Raw genomic sequence first — 24,566 nt, 5'->3', positions numbered from 1 at the left:
GCCTGTCCCCTCCCTAAGACCTGCATCCAGTCAGTCCCTCCTGCTGATTGAGACACGCGTCCTGGGGAGAGTGTCTCCACGAGGCTCAGACTCTTTGACAAACTGGTTTTACTTTTGGGGATTTATCTTAAAACAGTTTCTTTTTTTTGTTTTTAACTTTTTATTTTTATTTTTTAATTAAAAAAAAAATAGAGACAGGGTCTTGCTGTGTTGTCCAGGCTGGTCTCGAGTTCCCGGGCTCTAGCAATCTGCCTGCCTTGGTCTCCTAAAGTGCTAGGATTACAGGCATGAGGTACCGTGCCCAGCCCCGGCCTTAAAACAGTTCCTTTAAAGGAAGAAATGAAATAAAACCTCTAGACCCAGTGGTCACTTCCCAGTCCCCATCAGCACAGACCTGCCTGCCCGCCTCGCTGCGGCTTCGCCCGTCTGCACTCACAGCTGTGTGTGTGCGACGCTTCCCAGACCGGACCTGTGCAGAACCCAGGCCCCTCTCCTCTACCCCTCCCTCCCTTCCTCCCCAGCCCCTCCTTCCAGCCCATCCCAGAATCTACCCCTCCCTCCCTCCCCAGCCCCCTCCTTCCAGCCCATCCCAGCGTCTACCCCTGCCTTCCTCCCCAGCCCCCTCCTTCCAGCCCATCCCAGAACACGTGCAGGAGCCACCGCCCACGTGGCCTGCAGGATGGTTGCCGGATCCTCTTCAGGGGCCCTCACCCATCCACCTGTGTCAAAACAAGGTGTCATCTCTGCCCTGCTCAGACCCTTGCCGGAGCTCCCACCGTGATCTGCCTGCACCGTGCCCACACCAGTCCTCTCTCCCCAGTCCCCACGCACCCGCTGCCCTGGGTCTCCACCATGCTGTCCCCTTCGCTCAGGGTCCCCTTGACTGTCCTATCCCTACTGCCACACTGTCCCCTCCCCCGCACTGTCCCCTTTTCCATGATGTTTCCTCCTCCACGCTGTCCCCTCTGCTCCAGTGTCCTCTTGGCCATGCTGTCCTCTCCATGGTGCTGGCCCCTCCACTACACTGTCCCCTCCTCTATGCTGTCCCCTTGTCTATGCTGTTCCCTCCTCTATGCTATCCCATTCTCCATGCTATCCCATTCTCCATGCTGTCCCCTCCTCCATGCTGTCCCTTCCTCTGCAATGTCCTCTCCCCTGTGCTCCTCTGCACTGTCCCCTCCTCCATGCTGTCCCCTCCTTTATGATGTTCCCTCCTCCGTGCTGTCCCCTCCATGATGTCCCCTCTTCCGTGCTGTCCTCTCCTCTGCACTGTCCCCTACTCCCTGCTGTACCTCCCTCTGCGATGTCCCCACCACTGCACCGCTCACCCAAGCCCTCTCCCACCAGCAGGTTGCGTGACTTACTCTGTTATTTATTTTTCCATGTTACTGAGATAAAATTCATTACCCTATGACTCACCCATCTACAGTGCACAGTCGTTTTTGGTACATTCAGAATTGTGCAGCCATCACCACAAATTTCATAACATTTTCATTACTCACAAAGATGTCTCTTACTCCTGAGCGGTCACCTCCACCCCCTATTATCCTTCATCCTGCCCCTTAACCCTAGGGAACCACAAATCTATTTTCTGTTTCTATAGATTTGGCTATTGGGTTATTCATATAAATGGGATTTCTGTTATTTTTGTGTCTCCCCCACTAGACTATAACTCTTATTCACGGATGCATCCTGAGTGCCTGTCATGTCATAGTGTGGTGGACTTTTGCAGAATTTTGTTGCATTGATCTGAGGGGGCACAAATATATATCCACAAAGATTATCCCCGAAGTATTACTTGTAATCATAAAAATTTGAGAAGGGATGGATATCCAGAATTAAGGGATTGGTTAAAAACAATACTGTAGCCATTTAAATAATGATGGAGAAAAATCTCCTAATGCTATGCAAAAACATCCCCAGTGTATTAAGCACAAAAACTGTTATCAAATAGTATGTCTCTATTTTACAGAGTTTCTTAACATTGATAGGTAAAACTTTTGTAAACAGAAATTAAAGCAATAAACATTCTTCTTTATTGTGGTAAAATATACATAACAAAATTGGCCATTTTGACCCTTTCTTAGGGTTTTAATGGCAAAAATTGCAATTACTTTTGCACCAACCTAATATATAGGATTTACCCTTTTGTGACTGTCTTATTTCACTTCACATAATGTTTTCAAGTTTCCCCCATGTTGTAGCATGTGTCAGAATTTCCTACCTTTTTAAGGCTGAATAATATTCCATTGGATGTAATTAGCTGTTATTTTAAATAAGAAATGTGTGATAACATTCAAAAGAGTAAAATGCCTAGGAATAAATTTAATCAAGAAGGTGAAAGGCATGGATGCTGAAAACTAAAAAACGTTGCTGAAAAAATTAAAGACATAATTAAAGAGAAAGACATTCCATGTTCATGGATGGGAAGACTTAATATAGTTAGAATGGCAATACTCCATAAAGTGATCTACAGATTCTGTGCAATTGCTGTCGAAACTCCATTGGCCTTTTTGTTTTGCAGAAATGGAAAAGGTGTTCTAAAATTCATGTGGAACTGCAATGGGCCCTAAATAGCCAAAACAATATTGAAAAACAAAAACAAAATTGGAAGATTCATACGTCCTGATTTCAAAACTTACTACAAGTCAAAACCTTATGGTACTGGCATAAAGATAGATGTATAGACCAATGGAATAAAATTGAGAAGCCATAAATAAACCCAAACATCTATGGTGAACTGATTATTGACAAGGGGGCCAAGATCATTCAATAAGGAAAGAACAGTCTCTTCAGTGAATGTTCCTGGAGCAACTGGATAACCACATGCAAAAGAACAAAGTTGGAAAAAAAAAAAAAAAAGAACAAAGTTGGACCCTGCGATGGTTAACTTCATGTGTCATCTTGGGTAGGCCACATTACCCAGATATTTGGTAAAATACCAGTCTGAATGTTGCTGTGAAGGTATTTTTTTTTCTTTTTATAATGATAAACTGGCAATTTATAATTGCGCAGATTTATAGCATGCAAAGTTGTGTTATAATCTATGAATGCAGTGTGGAATAATTAAATCAAGCTGGTTAACATATCCATCACCTCAAATATTTAACATCTTTTGAATGAGATCATTTTAAATTTACTCTCTTACAATTTGGAAATGTACAGCACTCTATTATTAACTGTATTCACCATGATGTGCAAAGAACTCAAAAAAAGAAAAAAAATTCTTCTAGTCTGAGATTTTATACTCTTTGGCCATTCCCCACACCCCCAGCCTCTATAACCACTGTTGTGCTCTCTGATTCTATAAGTTCAATTGTTTGAGATTCCACAAGTAAGTGAGAACATATGGTATTTGTCTTTCTGGTCCTTACTTATTTCACTTAGCATAATGTTCTAAAATTCCATCCAATTTTTCACAAATGTCAGAATCTCTTTTGTTTTTAAGGCTGAATAGTATTCTATTGTGTATATATACCACATTTTCTTTATTCATCTGTTAAACGCTTAGGTTGATTTCATAACTTAGCTATTGTGAATAATGCTGCAATGAACATGAGACTACAGACATCCCTTCAACAAACTGATTTCAGATGTTTGGGGTAAATACCCAGAAGTGGGATTGCTGGATCATATGGCAATTATATTTGTAGTTTTTTTGAGGAACCTCTATACTGTTTTCCATAATGGCTGTACCAATTTACATTCCTACCAATGGTGTGCAAGGGTTCCCTTTTCTCCACATCCTTGGTAACACTTATCTTTCATCTTCTTGATAAAAGATATTCAGACAAATGAGAAATGATATCTCACTGTGGCTTTAGTTTGCTTTTCTCTAATGACTAGTGATGTTGGTCATTTGTATGTCTTCTTTTGAGAAATGTTTTTATCCCTGAAATGCAAGGATGGTTCAATATACACAAATCAATAATTGTGATACATCACATTAATAGAATAAAAAAACCATATGATCATCTCATTAGATGCAGAAAAAGCATTTGATAAAATTCAACATCATTTTATGATGAAAAACTCAGCAAATTAGATGTAGAAGGAATATATCCCTTCAAGGGTACCACTGAGTGAAAATGTAAAACAGAAAAAAAGAAAGAATGTGCCTTAACGCAATAAAGGCCATATATAACAAGAAGCCCACAGCTAACGTTATACTCAATGGTAAAAAATTGAAAGCCTTTCCTGTAAGATATGGAACAAGGCAAGGATGCCTACTCTTCCCACTTCTATTAAATATAGTATTGAAAGTCCTTGCCAAAGCAATTAGGCAAGAGAAAGAAAGAAAAGGCATCCAAATAGGAAAAGAAGTGTAATTGTTACTGTTTGATGGCAACTTTATTCGATATATATATATATATATATATATATATATATATATATATATATATATATATATATATTTGAGATGGAGTCTTGCTCCGTCACCCAGGCTGGAGTGCAGTGGTGCGATCTCAGCTCACTACAACCTCCACCTACTGGGTTCAAGCGATTCTCCTGCCTCAGCCTCCTGAGCAGCTGGGACTACAGGCATGAGCCACCATGCCCAGCTAATTTTTGTATTTTTAGTAGAGACAGGGTTTCACCATATTGGCCAGGCTGGTCTTGAACTCCAGATCTGGTGATCCACCTGCCTCGGCCTCCCAAAGTGCTGGGATTATAGGCGTGAGTCACTGCACCTGGCCGGCAACCTTATCTTATCTGTGGAAAACCCTACAGACTCCACCAAAAAAACTGTTAGGACTAATAATGAATATAGTAAAGTTCCAGGACACAAAATCAAGACACAAAAATTAGTAGCATTTTTATACACTAACAATACACTATCCGAAAAAAGAAATCAAGAGAATAATCTCATTTACAATAGCTACAAAGAAATAAGATACTAAGGAATAATTTTTATCACAGAGGTGAAAAACCTGTACACAGAAAACTATAAAACATCAATGAAATCAATTCAAGAAGACAAAGATATTCCATGTTCATGGATTGGAAGAATTAATATTGTTAAAATGTCCATACTACCCAAGTAAATCTACATGTTTAATGTAATCCCTTTCAAAAGCCCAACATCATTTTTTTTATGGAAAGAGAAAAAAATCCTATAATTCATATAGAACCATAAAAACCCACGAATAGCCAAGGCAATCATGAGCAAAAAGGACAAAGCTGGAGATACCACACTACCTGATTTTAAACTGTACTACAAAGCTATAGTAATTTTAAAACAGCTTAGAGTTGGCAAAAACAAAACAACAGGACACAAATACCAGTGGAACAGAATAAAGAGCCCAGAAATGAACCCAACTAATTTTCAGCAAAGGTGCCAAGAAGACAAGGACAGCCTCTTCAATAAATGGTGTTGGGAAATCTGAATTTTCACATGTCAAAGAATGAAGCTAGAACCTTATCTCACACCATATAAAAAATCAACTCAAAATGGATTAAAGAGCTAAATATAAGACCAGAAACTCTAAAACTACTAGAAGAAAACATAGGGGAAAGACTACACAACATTAGTCTGGGTAGTGACTTTTTGGATTTGGCCCCAAAGTGCAGGTAAGAGAAGCAAATATAGATAAATTGGATTACATCAAACTGAAAAGCTTCTGCATAGCAAAAGAAACAACAGGGTGCAAAGACAACCTATGGATTGGGAGAAAATATTTACAATTCATACATCTGATGGGTTAATATCCAACATATATAAAGAACTCAAAAAATTCAACAGCAAGAAAACATTAAAAAAAATATGGGTAAGAGACTGGGCATGGTGGCTCATACCTGTAATGCTAACACTTTGGGATGCCGAGGCAAGAGGATTGCTTGAGGCCAGGAGTTTGAGTCCAGCTTAAGCAACATAGTGAAACCTCATCCCAACAGCAAAAAGCCAGATGTGGTGGTGTGTGCCTGTAGTCCCAGCCACTTCGGAGGCTAAGACGAGAGGATTAGTTGAGCCCAGGAGTTCGAGTTTGCAGTAAGCTATGATCACGCCATTGAATTACAGTCTGGGCAATGGAAAGAGACTCTGTCTCTTAAAAGCAAAAAAAAAAAAAAAAAAAGTAAGATTTAAAGACAAGGGGAAAAGGAAAAAAATGTGAGAAGGGAACTGAATATACATTTCCACTGAAGTTTTTGAAGCCATGAATGTATTTTTGCACAAACGCTTTTATCATATGCAGTCGTTTTTTGTAAATGATTTTTTGTAATGCCAGCAGATATAGGTTAGAGTGATTTTTCACCTGAGTATATGACAGAAAAATGTTTGAATCATTATTAGTTGCCTGTACTGGCAGTATGAATCTGGAAGAAAGTGGTTGAATAGAGAATAGTAAGAGCAAGGCCATTTAGTCTGTACATTCACATAGGGCTTGGTCATTTGCAACAATAAATTTGTTCATTGGCAGGATTTCCCACCAAGTTAGTATAGATTCTATGCTATTTGATAAAAGATAACAATAATAAAGTTAATTTTTTTTTTCTCTTCAGCATTTGCTTTAAGAGAAAAATCCTGAAGCTTGTAGGGATTTCTGATGCCAGGAAACCATGAAACGTGAGAGTATATTTAGCAATCAGGGTGACTTAACTCATGGTAATTGGCACATGTATAGTTACAATTTGCATTCTAGTTATTTAAACTAAGATATTCTTGATCAGGCTGAACATACTGTGAGTAGAAGATTGCTTTCCCTAATAAATAAGATAGAGTCTTTGGAGGATGGCCTTGGTAAGTTGGTAAGTCAGCTTCCTCTGGATTTTGGTGATTTCTCCAGTTCTTCCATAATTCCTCAGGGCCCTGACAATTTTCTGAGTAAGCCATGGGGTTCTGGCTGACTTTTCTTTTTCCCTAAAGTTTTTCTTTATTTTTCAATACAAACAGAAAGACATCTTTGGTTTTATCTACTCCTGGATACAAGACACCATCTTAGCATTATGTGGGGATTCGTGAAGGTATTAAAACGGTCAGAGCTTCTTCCTGCTATGATGGTTCTCCAGCTATACACAGGTTCCTCTGTGGGCAACACTTCTTAGCAGATGGAATTTCCTCTGACATGAGGACAGTGGCTGACGAAAGCCAGGTAATTTTTGTCATCTGGGGAGGAGTGAAGATCAGTTGAATGTTACCTCAGTACCTCAAAAGCGCCTTCAAATGCTTCAGCCAGCTTGTCTTGTTCAACACAAGTCATGCTTCACTGAATGGATGATTCTACCCATCCGTGTCCAGTGTAGCATCCGCTGTACGATGTGGATATAACCTTCCCTGTCCTCTGAAACGCACGTCAGCACCACCCTGCTGTGAGGTATTTTAAAGATGAGATTAGCATTTAAATCAGTAGACTCTGAGTACAGCTGACGACCCTCCGTGATGTGGGTGGGCCTCATCCAATTAATGGAAGGCCCTGAGAGAAATAGACTGAGATCCGCAAGTAAGGGGGAATCCGGCTTCCAGACTCCTTGGATTGGAGCTGCCGTGTCAACTCTTCTCCGGGTTCCCAGCAGAATTTGGACTTTCCAGCCCCCACAATTGCATGAAACAATTCCTTAAAATAAATATTGCTCTCTTGTTCTGTTTCTCTAGAGAACTTTGATACAGAGGGTAAATCTTCCTGTTCTCAGATTTTGCAATGGATTTGACATCAAAAGCACCACCACAAAAAGATAAAAAGAGAAACTGGACTTCATCAAAATTAAAAATTGTGATTGTCCAACAATGATAGACTGGATTAAGAAAATGTGGCACATATACACCATGGAATACTATGCAGCCATAAAAAATGATGAGTTCATGTCCTTTGTAGGGAAATGGATGAAATTGGAAACCATCATTCTCAGTAAACTATCTTAAGAACAAAAAACCAAACACCGCATATTCTCACTCATAGGTGGGAATTGAACAATGAGATCACATGGACACAGGAAGGGGAACATCACACTCTGGGGACTGTTGTGGGGTGGGGGGAGGGGGGAGGGATAGCATTGGGAGATATACCTAATGCTAGATGACGAGTTAATGGGTGCAGCGCACCAGCATGGCACATGTATACATATGTAACTAACCTGCACAATGTGCACATGTACCCTAAAACTTAAAGTATAATAATAAAAAATAAATAAGAAAAAAAAATTGTGATGCATCAGAGGACATTATAAAGAAAATGAAAAGACAACCTAAAGAATATTTGCAAATCATATATCTGATGAAGATTTAATGTCCAGAACATATAAAGAACCCTTACAACTCAACAACAAATCGACAAACAACCCAATTTAAAAATGAGGAAAGACTTGAATAGACATTTCTTCTAAGAAGATATACACATGGCCAACAGGCACATGAAAAGATGCTCCACATCGTTGGTTACTAAGGAAATGCAAGTCAAAACCATGATGAGATGCCACTTCACACCCACCAGGATGGCTGTAATCAAAAAAATGGAAAAGAATACGTGGGGAGAGCGTGGAGAAGTCAGAACCCTTGGATTGCTGGCAGGAGTGTAAAATGCCACAGCTGCTACGGAAAACAGTTGGTGGTTCCTTAAAAAGTTAAACATAGAATTATATGATCCATATGGTCATACCACATACCCTTCTAGGCATATACCCAAGAGAAATGAAAACATATGTCCGTGAACAAACTTCTACACGAATGTTTATGGCAGCATTATTCATAATTGCCCAAAGGCAGAAACAATCCAAACTTCCACCCGTGGGTGAATGAAGAAATGTATGCGCGGGAACATTCGCCACGTGCCACAGCATGGTGAGCCTTGAAAACGTGGTGCAAAGTGAAAAGCGGTCACAAAGGTCACGTATTATGTGATTCCATTTATATGAAACACCCAGAATAGGCCAATTCATAGAGACAGAAAGCAGATGAGGGATTGCCAGTGGCTGAGGTGAGGAAGTCAGTGGTGATTATTAAAAGGGTGTTTTCTGGGGTGATAAAAACCTTTTGAAACTAGAGAGGTGATGGGTGCACAGCACCGTGAATGCAGAAAATGCCTCAGAATCATACCCTTTAAAACAGTTGTTCGTTATATGAATTTATTTGAAAAAAGAAAAGGGAAGACTGGCCACCCCCACTTCCAGCAGGGCCCAGCTTTCTCCACTGTGCGGGGCGTCCTCTCTCCTGCTCACCTTAGCTGGACCTGGGCCAAGCCCCTCACAGTGCCCCCACACCCCTGGCCACACCGAGACCCCAGGATCCAGCCTGCCAGGCTCACCAGTGGGTGCTGCTTACCCCTGCTCATGGCAGCATGGACGCAGGCCTGGGTGGCCTGTCGGGCTGTAGCCATGGGCAGCGGCTGCATTGGACCCACCGTTTCTGGCAATAGCTCATTCCCAGGCCTCATTCTGAGCCTCTTCAGCCGGATTCCTGCAAGTGCCAGGCCAGGTGCAGAGACAAATGCTGAGTCTCTGGCAGCCGCCCGGGGGCCGCTCCCCACCTCTGGCCCCCACACCCCGTTACTTCAGCACCTGGGCCTGATCTCCTGTCCCACGGGCCTTCTCTCTGTCGTTCGGGCACCTGCAGAGCTGCTGAGCAGCAGGGCTCAGCCACTGTGGAGTGCACGGCCCTGCGTCCAGCACGCGAAAGCTAACACACGGCTGGATGTGGGGACACAGCCCAGGGGGTCTTGGGTCCCCGCAGGCTCCCAGGAGGAAGTGGCGCAGCAGCCTTGGGGTCTGAGCCTCCTGATGAACGAGTTCTTTTCTGAGGTCCTGGGCCAGCAGCTCTCATGGGTGGGCCTTGTCCCCCCACTCCTGCTGACTGCCCTGGGGGGCAGCTGGGTCCTCCCTCGGCCACGCTGCTGCCCGGCACAGGCAGGAGCGAGGTTTCCAGAGGGGCAGACGTTGGGTACACAGGTCATTGCGGGACTGAGTCCTATGCTCAGCAGGGGAGGGAGCTCTACTGTGGTTGTGGATGGCTTCCCTGAGGCTTGGCCACTGGAGTCAGGGCTGCCCCCTTCCCTGCTCTGTTTCACTCTGCCTTTGTCCTGAGACTGCCTGATTCACCCATAAAGTTAAGGCTCTATTTGGGTAATTGTCCCCTGAATACTGTTCGTTCAATCAGGACAGGCAGCTCATGTAAGAGCCACAAAGGAGACCAAGCAGAATGGAAGGCTGGTTGTGCTGTCCCCTCACCCACAGGTGGTCAAGACACAGCCCCCTGCCCAGCTGAGCTGGCCACTCCACAGGGGCCCCGGAGGCAGCACTGCACATACTTTTCCTGTGACTTTCAAATCTTCTTTTTGCACATGAAACCCAACGATTTTTAGGGAAAAACATTCCCTTTGTTCAATTCTGTTCATCAGCCTTTCTCACTGAGCTGGGTGTGTTAGACAAGGAGACTGTCCCTGTGCTCCCAGGGACTCGGTGTTGGCTGGACCTAACCCTGGTGTCACGTCTGCTGAAAGAGACAGGCCGGTGGTGCTCCATTTACACAGACAGGCCCACATGGCCCTTGTCTGTGCTCTGATGAGGAAGAATATGATGAGGGACAGGGGACGAATTCGTGGGTGGATGCTCCCCAGGCACCTGAGACATGGTCTGGTCCCAAGAGACCCAGGAGGAGGCACCCAGAGAAGGTCCTCTGGGATGGGTGCCCTCAAGGAGAGACGGGCTGAGACATGGATGATCAAGGCACACTCGGAGCTTGGCAGGGCTGGACGGTGCGTGGAGAGGAGTGGGTGCCACTGGAGGTGGCATCTGGGAAGCTTGTCCTTCAGCAGGCTTTGAGCCGGACTCTGGGGGAGGGACAGTGAGGAAAGCCGGCCTCAGCCACATGCGGCCCCAGTCCTGGGGAGGGGAGCTTCTCGGGGCATGGTGGGCACCACAAGGGAGGTGGGTCCTGTGTGGGGGATGAGGGGAGGCTGCTTTGGTCTCGTGGCTTGTGGAGCGTTGGCCAGGCTGCAGGAAGGGAACCCGTGCGGGCCTCAGCTCGCACCTCCAGCTGGTTTTGCTTTTGGAGAAGATGGTTCCAGGTCCAGTTCTCATAAAGCTCTGCAGATAAATTTAACCACAAATCCAGTTTTTATTACTTGCAAGAAGGTAGATTTTGGTAACAAACCTTGAGGCTAATTTATCTGATTGCAGCACTGATGTGTGCAGATACACTTTTCTGATTACTTTATGACCCCTCCAATGAACACAAGCTAATCAACTGCAAAAGAGGATGAAGTCTGGGTAATAATTCTCACTGCTTTTTTCTAAACTTATTTACAATGCAATCACACAAGGCAAAGCATGAGGCGGCGGCCGTGCTGGGACAGTGGCGCTGCAGAGTCCCAGCGGGCGTGGTTTTCGCAGGTGGTTAAGTTGGGCCGTCCGCGGCACCCAGGGGGCCACAGGGCCTGACATCCTGGCTTTTGTGTCTCAAATGCAGTGGCCTCGTGGTCTATGCGGACGGACCTCTGAACTTGGACCGCAAGGTGGAAGACATGTCCGAGCTGTTCCGGCCCTTCCACACGTTGCTGCGGAAAATAAGGTGGGGATGGAGCTAGAGGAGGTGGGGGAGGGGAGGGGGACAGGAGGGCCACAGGTGGGCGCTGAAGTCATGTTTAGCCGCCGCCTCCAGGTCCTCCTCCTCTCTGTGAGGAAGGATGGGCTGGTTAATATTCCCTAGGGAGGGGTCACAAACGACCCATGGGGGTCACAGAGTCCTGGCTTTTGCCCCTGCCTGGGCATCGCATGGGGTGGGCGCTCTCTTGGGCTGAGCTGGGGGAGTGAACCTCACACTTCCTGACATGGTACAGCAACAGCTAAGTGTCCTGCTGTCCCCACCATTCCCATTGTCCCCACCATCCCCACCGTCCCCACCGTCCCCACCATCCCCACCATCCCCACCGTCCCCACCGTCCCCAAAGCGCTTGCTTCTGTTGGAGTCTTGGTGCTCCACCTGTGCCCTTTGTCTTTAGTTACTGGTTTACGTCTGTGTCCACATGGGAGACCCCCTTTTAAAACACGACGCCTTTCCTTCATATGGGCCAAGGGCTTTGCTGGGTGGCCTGAGCCGACAGAGCCCAGCCGTGGCTTCCTGGAGGGACGGGGGCCACGTGAAGCCCATGGCACATGTCCTCCATGTGCCACCCTGGCTCTGTGGCCTGGGACAGCTTGGTATTTCCTACCACGGCCCCTGATCACTGCAACCAGGTTTCCTTCGGGGACCCAGAAGCCTAGAACTCTGCCCCATGAGGGCCAGAGGTGCTGTGAGTCCAGACAGTGAAAAGTGACCCCGTGGGCTATGGGGTCCTCGTCACCCTTGCAGATGGGGTTGTGAGCTCTTGGGGCCTTGGCAGGTGGTCCTTGGCGTCAGTGGGTTCAGGGGCAGGGGTGCTTGGTTCAGTCCATGTTTCATCTGGGAGATGGCTGTCGCTGCTTTCCTCCTGCTTGGGGGGATGTGAGCCCTGGACCTGGAGGTTGCAGTCTCATCCTTCCTTGGGTGACGTGGAGGAGACCACAGTGAGGAGAGGAGACAGATGCCACCTACACCAGGAAGGCACATGCACCCCCTGCCCCACATATGGGGGTCTTACAGGAAAGGTGGCGCAGGTGCCGGGCCGTGGCTGGAGAAGGAGCCTCCTGGGCGGTGTGGGGCTGGAAGGGGGCACCGGCCACACAGGAGTGGAGTGGACGTCCTGGGAGCATATCTGCCCTTGGCCTGCATGGGTGATGGAGAGGAGGATGAAGCTGAACGGGCTGGAGGCAGAATGCTGTCGAGGGATTAATGCTAGGATTACAGGTGGACCACCATGCCCAGCTAATTAAAAACAATTTTCTTGTAAAGATGGGGTCTCGCCATGTGGCCCAGGCTGGTCTTGAACTCCTAGGCTTAAGCTTTCCTCCGGCCTCGGTCTTCCAAAGGGTTGGGATTACAGGTATGAGTCACCTCACCTTGCAGAAAGCTGTGTGGGTGGAACGTGCCTCTGCTGCCCACCCAGGGGCCCTGATGTGGGAACCTCACCCATGGGTAAGGCAGCGGGGACCCAGGTGTGCACCCACAGGCTGGCCCTGCCGCCCCGATGGAACTGCTGCTTGTGCCCCCCGCCCACCCAGGGAAAACAGTGAGAATCCACAGATGAGCCTGCATCTCCTCCAGCGTCAGGGTTTGAGGACTTATCCGTTACTGTCCACGTGTAGTGGTGTGATCTCAGCTCACTGCAGTCTCCGCCTCCAAGTTCAAGAGATTCTCCTGCCTCAGCCTCCTGAGTAGCTGGGATTACGGGTGTACGCCACCATGCCCGGCTAATTTTTATATTTTTAGTAGAGACGGGGTTTCACCATGCTGGTCAGGCTGGTCTTGAACTCCTGACCTCAGGTGATCCGCCCGCCTCGGCCTCCCAAAGTGCTGGGATTACAGGCGTGAGCCACTGCGACCAGCCAAAAGATCCTGCTTTTAAAGGTACCTGAACTGTGGAAGTAAGGACTGGGTGAACTAAGAGCCTGGGGAAGGGAGCCTTTGGAGGTGAGCTGCAGTCTACTTGGCTGTTCTTCCCCAGGGAAGATTTGATGATTCCAGGCTTGTCCAGGGCCCAGGCTTCCCAGGCAGAGAAGCTCTGCTGGGGAAAGAACATCTAATCAAGGGCTGGTGAAACAGGCTGGCAGCTTGGGGGCATTCAAGCAGCACGCCTGCCAGTCCTGGGGAAGCAGGAAATCCAGGCAGAAAGCCCCCTGACAACAGGCTTCCTGCAGTTTCCAGGTGCTTAGGAACAAAAGCATGCCTTGAGGCCGGCGCGGTGGCTCATGCCTGTAATCCAGGCACCTTGGGAGGCCCAGGCGGATGGATCACCTGAGGTCAGGAGTTTGAGACCAGCCTGGCCAACATGGTGAAACCCTGTCTCTACTAAAAATATAAAAATTAGCTGGGCGTGGTGGCGGACGCCTGTAATCCCAGCTATTTGGGAGGCTGAATCAGGAGAATCATTTGAATCTGGGAGGCGGAATTTGCAGTGAGCTGAGATTGCGCCACTAAATTCCAGCCTGGGCGACAGAGCAAGACTCTGTCTCAAAAAAAAAACAATCAAACAAAAAGCATGCCGTGAGCACACTGCTAGAGACGTTTGCCAGATTTTGAAGTTGCATGTGGCTGGAGGCTGAGCTGGAACTTGGAAGGACAGAACTCGGTCTCCTGCAGACTTTGGGGTTTGAGAAGGCAGAGAGTGCAGCAGGCTCAGAACTGCAGTAACCAGGCCTAAGCGCAGCCAAACCTCAACCTACTCCGTGTCCGAAGGGAATGCAACAATGGACCTCATGCGGTCAGCCTAACAGAGAAAGGGGTAGTCCCCTCTGGTGGAAAAGGTGTCATCTGTAACCTTTATGATTCTTTTATATCCAATGTCTGTCATATAATCCAAAATTGCTTAAAATGTTGGCCGGGCACAGTGGCTCACTCCTGTAATCCCAGCACTTTGGGAGGCCAAGGTGGGCGGATCACCTGAGGTCAGGAGTTTGAGACCAGCCCAGCCAACATGGCAAAACCCCATCTCTACAAGAATACAAAAATTAGCCAGACATGGTGGTGCATTCCTGTAATCCCAGCTACTTGGGAGGCTGAGACCAGAGAATCGCTTGAACCCAGGAGGTGGAGGTTGCAGTGAACCAAGATCGTGCCACTGTACTCCAGCCTGGGTGACAGAGTGAGACTCTGTCTCAAAAAAAAAAAAAAAAAGTTAAAGAAACAAGAAAATACTGTAATCCCAGCACTTTAGGAGGCCAAGGTGGGTGGACCACAAGGTCAGGAGATCGAGACCATCCTGGCTAACACAGTGAAACCCCATCTCTACTAAAAATATAAAAAATCAGCCAGGCATGGTGGTGCGCACCTGTAGTCCCAGCTATTTGGGAGGCTGAGGCAGGAGAATTGCCTAAACCTGGGAGGCAGAGGTTGCAGTGAGCCGAGATTGCACCACTCCACTCCAGCCTGGGCTACAGAGCGAGACTCCATCTCAAAAAAAAAAAGAGAGACAAGAAAATATATCTGATAGTTGAGAGAAGAGCCAGAAAGTGGATGCAGAGTTCTGATGATCCAGATAACTACTCCCAAGAATGTGAACACAGTGCTGATTAACATGTTAAAGAAAATAGAAGGGGGCAAATTAGATAAGAGGATAGAGAATTTAACAGAGAATTGGAATCTATACAGAGAGACACAACCAAGTGTGGTGGCATGCACCTGTAGTCCCAGCTGCTCAGGAGGCTGAGGCCGGAGGGTCACTTGAGCCCAGGAGTTCTAAATCCTAGTGTGCTATGCTGATCAGGTGTCTGCACTAAACTTTGGCATCAATATGGTGACCTCCTGTAGCAGGGAACCACCAGGTTGCTTAAGGAGTGGTGAACCTGCCCAGGTCAGAAATGGAGTAGGTCAAAACTCCCATGCTGATCAGTAGTGGGATTGCACCATTACAGTGCAGTGTGATAGCCACTGCACTCCAGCCAGGACAACATAGCAAGACTCCATCTCTAAAGAAAGAAAGAAAGGGGAAGGAAAAAAAGGAAAGGAAGGAAGGAAGAAAAAAATGACATTCTAAAGCTAAGAAAATTCACAATTTGACAATAAGGACGCAGTAGATGGGTTTAATAGCAGATCGGACCCAGCAGAACACAGAAGTAGTCAGCTTGAGGATAGCTTAATAGAAGAGACCCAAACTGAAGCTCGGGCAGGAAAAAAGAGGGGAAAAACAACAAGAAACAACAATAGAAAACCAGAATAGAGCATAAGAGACACGTGTAACAAACTCAAAAGGCCTAAAAAACATAATTGGAATCCCAGAAAGAGAGAAAAGAGAGAAGGGGCAGAAGTAATATTCAAAGAAGTCATGGCTAAACATTTCCCCAAATTCCAAAAGACAAAAATCTCTAGCCACAGATTCAGCAAGAAAACTACAAACAAAAAACCAACCAGCATACCTGGGTATATCATAGTGAAATTGCCAAAAACAAAGACAAAAAATTTGACAAGCAGCAAGAGAAAAAGGACATACTACTTTGAAACGAACATAAGATGGATAGCTGTCTTCTCAACAAATGAACAGAAACAATGGAAGCTGACAAGCAGTGAAATAACGTATATTTAAACTGCCGAAGGAGGTTGGGCACAGTGGCTCCCGCCTGTGATCCCAGCACTTTGGGAGGCTGAAGCGGGAGGATCACTTGAGCCAGGAGTTGGAGACCAGCCTGGCCGACATGGTGAAACCTCGTCTCTACTAAAAATTCAAAAATCAGCCAGGCGTGGTGGCGGGCGCCTGTAATCCCAGCTGAGACACGAGAATCACTTGAACCTGGGAGGCGGAAGTTGCAGTGAGCAGAGATCACGCCACCGCTTTCTAGCCTGGGCAACAGAGTGAGACTCTGTTTCAAAAAGAAAACAAAACAAAAAAAACTGCTGAAGGAAAATAGCTGACAACCAGCATTTTATAACCAGCAATAATATCCTTCAAAAATGAAGGTGATATTTTGCCTTCATGAATTATTCCAAAACATAGAACTGAAGGAATTTGTTATCAGCAACCTGCACATAAAACAATTAATTGGAGTTCTTCAGAAAAAAAAATTGTATCAGATGGAAATGTAGAAATGCTAGAGAGGCCAGGTGCGGTGGCTCCTGCCTGTAATCCCAGCACTTTGGGAGGCCAAGGCAGGAGGATTCCTTGACCTCAGGAGTTTGAGACCAGCCTGGACAACATAGTGAGGCTCTCTAGTTAAAAAAAAGAAAAATTAGCTGGGCATGGTGGCATGCCTGTAGTTCCATCTTACTCAGGAGGCTAAGGTGGGAGGATCATTTGAGCCCAGGAGTTTGAGGTTGCAGTGAGCTATGATTGTGCCACTGCACTCCAGCTTGGATGACAGTGAGGCCCTGTCTTAAAAAAAGTAATGCAAGAGAGACTGAAGAACATGATGTGGGTTAACATAAGTGAATATTAACTGTACAAAATAATTATAGTGTCTGTGGAGTTTAAATTGTACATAGTACTAAAATTCATGATATACAAGTAGCAGAAAAGACAGAAAGGGGTAAATGGAATTTTAAAGTTGTACTGGAAATGTGATTGAATAAATTATTTATATTAGAATGTGATCAGTCAAGGATCACTATTACAATATTAGGATAACACTAAAATAATAAAGATGAATAACTAGCAAATTCATAGAAGGAAAAACATCCAAAATAAGGTAAGAGCAGAGAAAGAGAAGATACAACAAATGGACCAAATAGAAAAAAATAGTAAGATGAAAGATACAAACCCAACCACATCAGTGATTACATTAAATACAAATGGACTAAATATTCTAAGTGTAAAACCAAGATTACCAGTCTGGGTTGAAACAGCAGCAACAACAGCTGTACTTGGCTGACGAGAGACCCAGTCCTGACACAAGTACGTGAACAAGGTTGAGAGTAAATAGACAACATAAACCATGCAGACACCACCCAAAGAAAGTTGTTGTAGTTATATTTATCAAAGTAAACTTTAAGGCAAGAAAGATTACTACAGATAAAGAGAAATATTTCATGCTGATAAACAGGCAATTCAGTAGGAAGATGTCACAATCCCAAATCTGTATATATGGGCTGAATAACATAGCTGTAAAACTTATGTAAAGCAAATAACAGAAATATAAGGTGGAATAGACAAATCCAAAACCAGCAGGATACTTTAATTTACCTCTCTATAACTGATGGAACTAACAGGAAAACCCTTGAGAATGTAAGAAATCTCAATAACAAAACTAATAAACTTGACCTGACTTACATGTGTAAGTTACATCCAACAATTGCCAGAATTCACGTTCTTTTTTTTTTTTTTTTTTTGAGACAGAGTCTCACTCTGTCGCCCAGGCTGGAGTGCAGTGGTGCGATCTCGGCTCATTGCAACCTCTGAATTGCAACCCAGGCTCAAGCAATTCTCCTGATTACAGGCACGTGCCACTACTGCCTGGCTAATTTTTGTATTTTCAGTACAGACTGGGTTTCACCATTTTGGCCAGGCTGGTCCTGAACTCCTGACCTCAAATGATCCACTCACCTCGGCCTCCCGAAGTGCTGGGATTACACACATGAGCCACCGGGCCCACCCTTATGTTCTTCTTAAAAGTATGTGGAGGCTGAGTGCAGTGGTTCATACCTGTAGTCCCAGCACTTTGGGAGGCCCAGGTGGATGGATTGTTTGAGCCCAGGAGTTTGAGACCAGCCCAGGCAACATGACGAAACACTGTCTCTACAAAAAATGTAAAAAAATGGGTGTGGTGGCACATATCTGTGGTCCCAGCTACTTGGGAGGCTGAGGTAGGAGGATGGCTTGAGCCCAGGAGGCAGAAGTTGCAATGAGCTAAGGTCATCCCACTGCACTCCAGCCTGCACCACACAGCCAGACCCTATCTAAATAAATAAATTAATTAATTAAAAAAAAAAGCATGTGGACCATTTATCAGAATTGATTATATGACAGACCGTAAAGAAACCCACAGTGAACCTCAAAGACAGAAAGTATTCATAATATGTACTCTGACTTTAGTGAGCCAGGTATCAAAAAAAAAAAAAAACCTGGAAAAACCTGGAAAAATCCCCAATTACATGATAAATTAGGCAAAACACTTCTATTTATTTATTTATTTGAGACAGAGTCTTACTCTGTCACCCAGGCTGGAGTGCAGTTCGCATGATCTTGGCTCACTGCAACCTCCGCTTCCTGAGTTCAAGCGATTCTCGTGCCTCAGCCTCCTGAGTAGCTAGAACCATAGGCATGCGCCTCCATGCCTGGCTAATTTTTGTATCTTTAGTAGAAACGGGGTTTCACCATGTTGGCCAGGCTGGTCTCGAACTCCTGGTCTCAAGTGATCTGCCCGCCTTGGCCTCCCAAAGTGCCGGGATTATAGGTGTGAGCCACTGTACCTGGCCCAAAACACTTCTTTTTTTTTTTTTTTTTTTTTTTTTGAGGCAGAGTCTCGCTCTGTCGCCCAGGCTGGAGCGCAGTGGCGCGATCTCGCTCACTGCAAGCTCCGCCTCCTGGGTTCATGCCATTCTCCTGCCTCAGCCTCCCGAGTAGCTGGGACTACAGGCGCCCGCCACCACACCCGGCTAATTTTTTGTATTTTTAGTAGTGACGGGGTTTCACCATGTTAGCCGGGATGGTCTCAATCTCCTGACCTCGTGATCCACCTGCCTCGGCCTCCCAAAGTGCTATGATTACAGGCGTGAGCCACCGCGCCCGGCCCCAAAACACTTCTAAATAATTCCTTGTTCATTGCAGAAGTCAATGGAAATTTTTCTTTTTTTTTCTTTTGTAATATAGATGGGATCACACTATGTTGCCCAGGCTGGTTTTGAACTCCTGTGCTCGAGCCATCTGCCTGCCTTGGCCTTCCAAACTGTTGGGCATGAGCCACTGTGCCTGGCCAAAATTTAAAAATAGTTTTAACTACATGATAATAGAGATATGATATATCCATGTGGCCAGGCCCAATGGCTCATTCCTGTAATCTCAGCATTTTGGGAGGCTGAGGTGGGAGGATCACTTGAGCCCAGGAGTTCGAGACCAGCCTGAGTGAGGCAATTCTCCCACCTCAGCCTCCTGAGTAGCTAGGACTACAGGTGTGAGCCACCACACTTGGCTGTTTCTTTTTGTATTGATTCCAATTATCTGTTTAAATTCTTCATCCTCTTATCTAATTTGCCCCCTTTAATTTTCTTTAACATATTAAAACAACAATAAAAAACTTAGTTGGGCATCATGGCACACGCCTATAGTCCCAGCTACTTGGGAGGCTGAGGTAGGAGGATTGCTTGAACCCAGGAGTTTGAGGGTGCAGTGAGCTATGATCCTGTCACTGTATTCCAGTCTGAGCAACAGAGTAAGACCTCATTTCTAAAAAAACAAAAAGGAAAATTAAGATGAGGCCTAAGCAGTGTTTTGAAGGAAATTTATAGCACTAAATGCTATAAATTAGAACAGAATAAAGGATGAAATTCAATTATATAAAATTTTGTCTAAAGAAGCTAGGAAATAATAAGTTTATCATACCTCAAGAAAGCAGGAGAAAAGAAATAATAAAAATAAGAACAGATGTCAATGAAATGCAAAACAAATGTATAGTAGGGGAAAGACAAACCCAAAAGTTAGGTTTTTTGTTTGTTTGAGGCAGAGTCTAGCTCTGTCACCCAGGCTGGAGTACAGTGGTGCGATCTCGGCTCACTGCAGCCTCTGCCTCCCAGGTTTAAACAATTCTTCTGCCTCAGCCTCCCAAGTAGCTGGAATTACAGATGCCTGCCACCACACCCAGCTAATTTTTTTGTACTTTTAGTAAAGACAGGGTTTCACTGTGTTGGCCAGGCTGGTCTCGAACTCCTGACCTTGTGATCTGCCCACCTTGGCCTCCCAAAGTGCTGGGATTATAAGCGTGAGCCATCATGCCAGGCCCCAAAAGTTAGTTATTTTAAAAGATTAATAAAATTGATAAATTCCAAGCTGGACTAGTTCAAGAGAAAAAAGATAAAACATAAATTACTAATAATATAGATGGAAAGGAGACATCACCACAGACCTTACAGATATTAAAATGATATGAGGATATTATAAACAACTTTATATCACTAAATTTGACAATTTGCATTGGACAAATTCCTCAAAAAAGCAATTAATCAAAGCTAACAGAAGAAGAAATAGAAAACCTTTTAATCCAATATCTATTAAAGAAGTTGAATTCATTATTTTAAAACCTTCCCACAGAGAAAACATCAGACACAGATGGCTTTCCTTATGTATTCTTCTAAACATTTAAAGAAGAAATAACACAAATCTTATATAAATTCTTTCAGGGAATAGAAAAAAAGACATTTTCTAACTTTTTTTATAATTATTGAACAAACTCTCACTTTGTCATGCAGGCTGGAGTGTGGTGGCACAATCTAGACTCACTGCAATCTCTGCCTCCCAGGCTCAAGCGATCCTCCCACCTCAGCCTCCTGAGTAGCTGAGACCACAGGCATGCACCACCATGCCCAACTAATTTTTGTATTTTTTGTAGAGACAGGGTTTTACTGTGTTGCCCCAGCTGGTCTCAAACTCCTGGGCTCAAGCAATCTGACTGCCTTGGCCTCCCAAAATGCTGTGATTACAGGCATGAGCCACCATACCCAGCCCTAACTCTTTTTTTTGTTTTTCAATAAGAGTATAATCTAGACATTTAAACCTGACCAAGATATTACAAGAAACAAAAACTACACCAATCTCTCATGAACATAGATGCAAATACCCTTAAAAAGATACAGACAAATGAAAATCAACCATATATAAATAAGATATATCATGACCAAGAGAAATATATCTGGGCACAGTGGCTCACACTTGTAATCCCAGGACTTTGGAAGGCTGAGGCAGGAGGATCGCTTGAGCCCAGGAGTTTGGGACCAACCTGGGCAATATAGTAAGACCTGATCTCTACAAAAAATTTACAAATTAGTTGAGCATGGTGGTACACATCTGTACTGACAGCTACTTGGGAGGCTGAGATGGGATGACTGCTTGAGCCAGGGAGGCAGAGGCTGCAGTGAGCTGTGATCAGGCCACTGCACTCCAGCCTGGGTGACAGCGCAAGACATTATCTCAAAATTAAAAAAAAAAGAAATGTATTCCAGATATGCAAGACTGGCTTAACATATGGAAATCAAATTGATGTTTTGCCACATTAATTTTAAAAATTGGAAGAAAAATCATATAATTTTGAAAGATTCAAGAAAAGCATTTGAAAAAATTTCACACCAATTTTATGGTGAAAACATCTCTTAGCAATAAACAAAACAGAACAAGAAAAGCATCTCTTAGCAAACTAGGAATAGGAGGGAATTTCCTTAACCTGGTCACAGATAGATATAGAAACAGATTTCGTCCGTGCGTATCTCTGTGTGTGTGTTGTCTGTTGTGTGTGTACTGCAGCACACTTCCCTGAGATTGGGAAGAAGATGTCTACTATTCACTATCTCCATTTAACATTGTTTTCTGGCCCAGCAAGTGCAATAAGGCAAAAATAGAAGGAAAATTAGGAAGTTACACAGCATTGGAAATGAAGGACTAAAACTGCCATTTTATGTAGATAACGTGATCAAGTACCTAGGAAACTCAGGAGCATCTTCAAACTATTAGAAATAATAAGTAGATTTAGCAAGGTCACTAGGTGAAACATCAATATACAAAAATAAGTGGTCTTTCTGTATGCCAGCAATAAATAAATGCGAAATGAAATCAAAATACTGTCTTAGTCAATTTTGTGTTGCTATCACAGAATACCTAAGACTCAGTAATTTATAAAGCAAGGAGGTTCGTTTAGCTCATGATTCTGGAGGTTGGGAGGTCCAAGATCAAGTGGCTGCATCTGGTTAATTTCTTGTGCGGACCTCGTGCTCTGTCATAACGTGGCAGAGAAGCAGGAGGGGAAGGGGGCGTGTGCAAAGAGGCCAAACACAAGAGGCAACCTCACTTCATGACAACCCACTCTTGTGGTAACTAATTTGGTCTCATGAGAAATGCATTAATCTCCTTAATGACCTAATCACCTCTTAAAGACACCACCTCTAAACACCACCACATTGGGAACTAAATTTCAACCTGAGTTTTGATGGGGACAAACCACCCCTAAACCATAGCAAATACCACCTATGGTAGTGCCAGTAAATATCAAATACGTAAGCATAAATCAAATTAACGATGTCCAAGACCTCCATTGAAAGTTATAAAATGTTATTACCATAAATTTTTAAAGCCCTGGACAGCAATTCCATTCAGAGAGAGGAACCCCTGATGTTATGAAGATATCAGTTGGTCTCAAATTAATCTATGAGTTCAATGCAGTCTCAATCAAAATCCCAGAAGCTAGCTAGCTTCCTTCCTTCCTCCCTCCCTCTTTCTCTCTTTTCTTTCCTTCCTTCCTTTCTTTTCTTTTTTCTTTCTTTTCTTTTCTTTTTTCTTTTCTTTTCTTTTCTTTCTTTCTCTTTCTTTCTTTCTTTCTTTCTTTCTTTCTTTCTTTCTTTCTTTCTTTCTGTCTTCTTTCTTTCTTTCTCTCTCTCTGTCTCTCCTTCCTTCCTTTCTTGCTTTCCTTCTTTCCTTTCTCTTTCTTTCTGCATTCTCTCCTCCCCCTCCCCTCCCCTCCCTCCCTCCCTCCCTTCCTTCCTTCCTTGTAGAAATTGATAAACTAATACTAAAATGCATGTGGAGATGCAAGGGGCCTGGAATAGCCAAGCAGCAGCAGAACGTTGTCTGTTCTACTCTCAATGGGCTTTGGGTAGTTTCCACAAATAGTGCTGCTGTGACTACCCCTGTGTGTGTCTCCAGGTGAACATATGTATGCTTTTCTGCTGTGTGTACTTCATAAAAAAAGAACAAAGGCCAGGCACAGTGGCTTATGCCTATAATCCCAACACTTTGGGAGGCTGAGGTGGGAGGAGCTCTTGAGCCCAGGAGGTCGAGGCTACGGTGAGCTGTGTTTACATCACTGAACTCCAGCCTGGGTGACAGAACAAGACCCCATTTCTTAGAAGAAGAAGAAGAAGAAGAAAATTGGAGACATCTTCTATTGTAAAGCTATAGTAATCCTGACAGATATGGTACAAGGATGGACTTGAGACCCATTCAATAGAACAGAAAGTCTAGAACAGACCAATGCATATATAGGTCTCTGATTTAAGGCAACGTGACATTACAGAACAGCGGGAATGGTTGTTTTTCTTTCCAATAAATGGGCTGAGTCAATAGAAGACCACATGAGGAAAAATGTCTCATATGGTTATCTATTAGTGTCTGGGTTCTTACCACTACTGTACACAAAAATCAACTCCAGACAGAGTGTAGATATAAATATAAAAAGTAAAACAATAAAATCCAGGCATGGTGGCTCATGCCGTAATCCCAGCACTTTGGGAGGCCAAGGCGGGAGGATCACTTGAGGCCAGGAGTTCAAGACCAGCCTGGGCAACATAGTGAGACCCTGTCTCTAAAAAAAATTTTTTTAATTAAAAATAATTAGCCAGATACGGTGGTCTGCACCTGTAGTACCAGCTGCTCAGGAGGCTGAGGCAGAAGAATAATTTGAGCTGAGGAGTTTGAGTCTCCAGTGGGCCATGATCATCCCAGATTTGGGCCACAGAGCAAGACCATGACTTAAAAAATAATAAAAAGCTTTTAGAGGAAAATATCAAGGAGAACATCTTTGTGACCACAGAGTGGGAAGAGATTTCTTAAACAGGACACAAAGCACTAATCATAAAGAAAAAATGTTATAATTGGACTTTATTAAAATTTAAAACTTCCTCAAAAGCACCATTAAGAGAATGAAAAGGCAAGCCAAAGAGTTGGAGAATATATCTAATAAAGAACTCAAATCCAAAATATATAAAGAACTCAATCAATAAGAAAAAGGCAGACAACCCAATTAGTAATGGGCAAAAAGCTTGAACAGGAACTTTACATAGAGAAAATCTAAGGGCTGATAAGTAAACTGTGACCGACTTCATTGGTCATCAGGCTAAAACAATGGAAAGCCATAATAAGATAAGATACTATTACTCACTC

General features: G+C 44.3%; 1 protein-coding gene and 2 pseudogenes across 6 annotated transcripts in view, besides 3 other annotated features; 2 read left to right on the top strand and 1 right to left on the bottom strand.

The window, feature by feature from the left end:
- ZFYVE28 (zinc finger FYVE-type containing 28) overlaps positions 1 to 24,566 on the top strand; it is a 149,049-nt gene that overhangs the window by 86,979 nt on the left and 37,504 nt on the right. For 3 of the 6 annotated variants that reach the window (NM_001172656.2, NM_020972.3, NM_001172659.2), the window contains one exon: positions 11,396 to 11,497. In NM_001172656.2, the coding sequence (NP_001166127.1) occupies positions 11,396 to 11,497 (102 nt within the window). Of the gene's footprint in view, positions 1 to 618; positions 1,506 to 2,524; positions 3,089 to 11,395; positions 11,498 to 24,566 lie in introns of those variants that run through there. The other 3 variants (NM_001172658.3, NM_001172660.3, NM_001172657.2) reach the window with 2 other exon arrangements.
- Positions 254 to 753: an enhancer, noted in NCBI's record as "H3K4me1 hESC enhancer chr4:2332641-2333140 (GRCh37/hg19 assembly coordinates)". NCBI's record gives its function as "activates a minimal SCP1, AML or CMV promoter by ChIP-STARR-seq in primed H9 embryonic stem cells {active_cell/tissue: H9 hESC(primed)}" and the evidence as "EXISTENCE:reporter gene assay evidence [ECO:0000049][PMID:30033119]".
- SPICP5 (Spi-C transcription factor pseudogene 5) lies at positions 6,581 to 7,199 on the bottom strand (annotated as a pseudogene).
- Positions 9,264 to 9,763: an enhancer, noted in NCBI's record as "H3K4me1 hESC enhancer chr4:2323631-2324130 (GRCh37/hg19 assembly coordinates)". NCBI's record gives its function as "activates a minimal SCP1, AML or CMV promoter by ChIP-STARR-seq in naive H9 embryonic stem cells {active_cell/tissue: H9 hESC(naive)}" and the evidence as "EXISTENCE:reporter gene assay evidence [ECO:0000049][PMID:30033119]".
- Positions 11,171 to 11,465: a silencer, noted in NCBI's record as "tiled region #1470; HepG2 Repressive non-DNase unmatched - State 21:Repr". NCBI's record gives its function as "represses a minimal TATA promoter and a strong SV40 promoter by Sharpr-MPRA in HepG2 cells {active_cell/tissue: HepG2}" and the evidence as "EXISTENCE:reporter gene assay evidence [ECO:0000049][PMID:27701403]".
- RN7SL589P (RNA, 7SL, cytoplasmic 589, pseudogene) lies at positions 15,161 to 15,470 on the top strand (annotated as a pseudogene).

The sequence above is a fragment of the Homo sapiens genome, chromosome 4 (assembly GCF_000001405.40).
Source record: "Homo sapiens chromosome 4, GRCh38.p14 Primary Assembly".
Taxonomy (NCBI): domain Eukaryota; kingdom Metazoa; phylum Chordata; class Mammalia; order Primates; family Hominidae; genus Homo; species Homo sapiens.
This window is presented reverse-complemented; position numbering and strand designations above follow the sequence as displayed.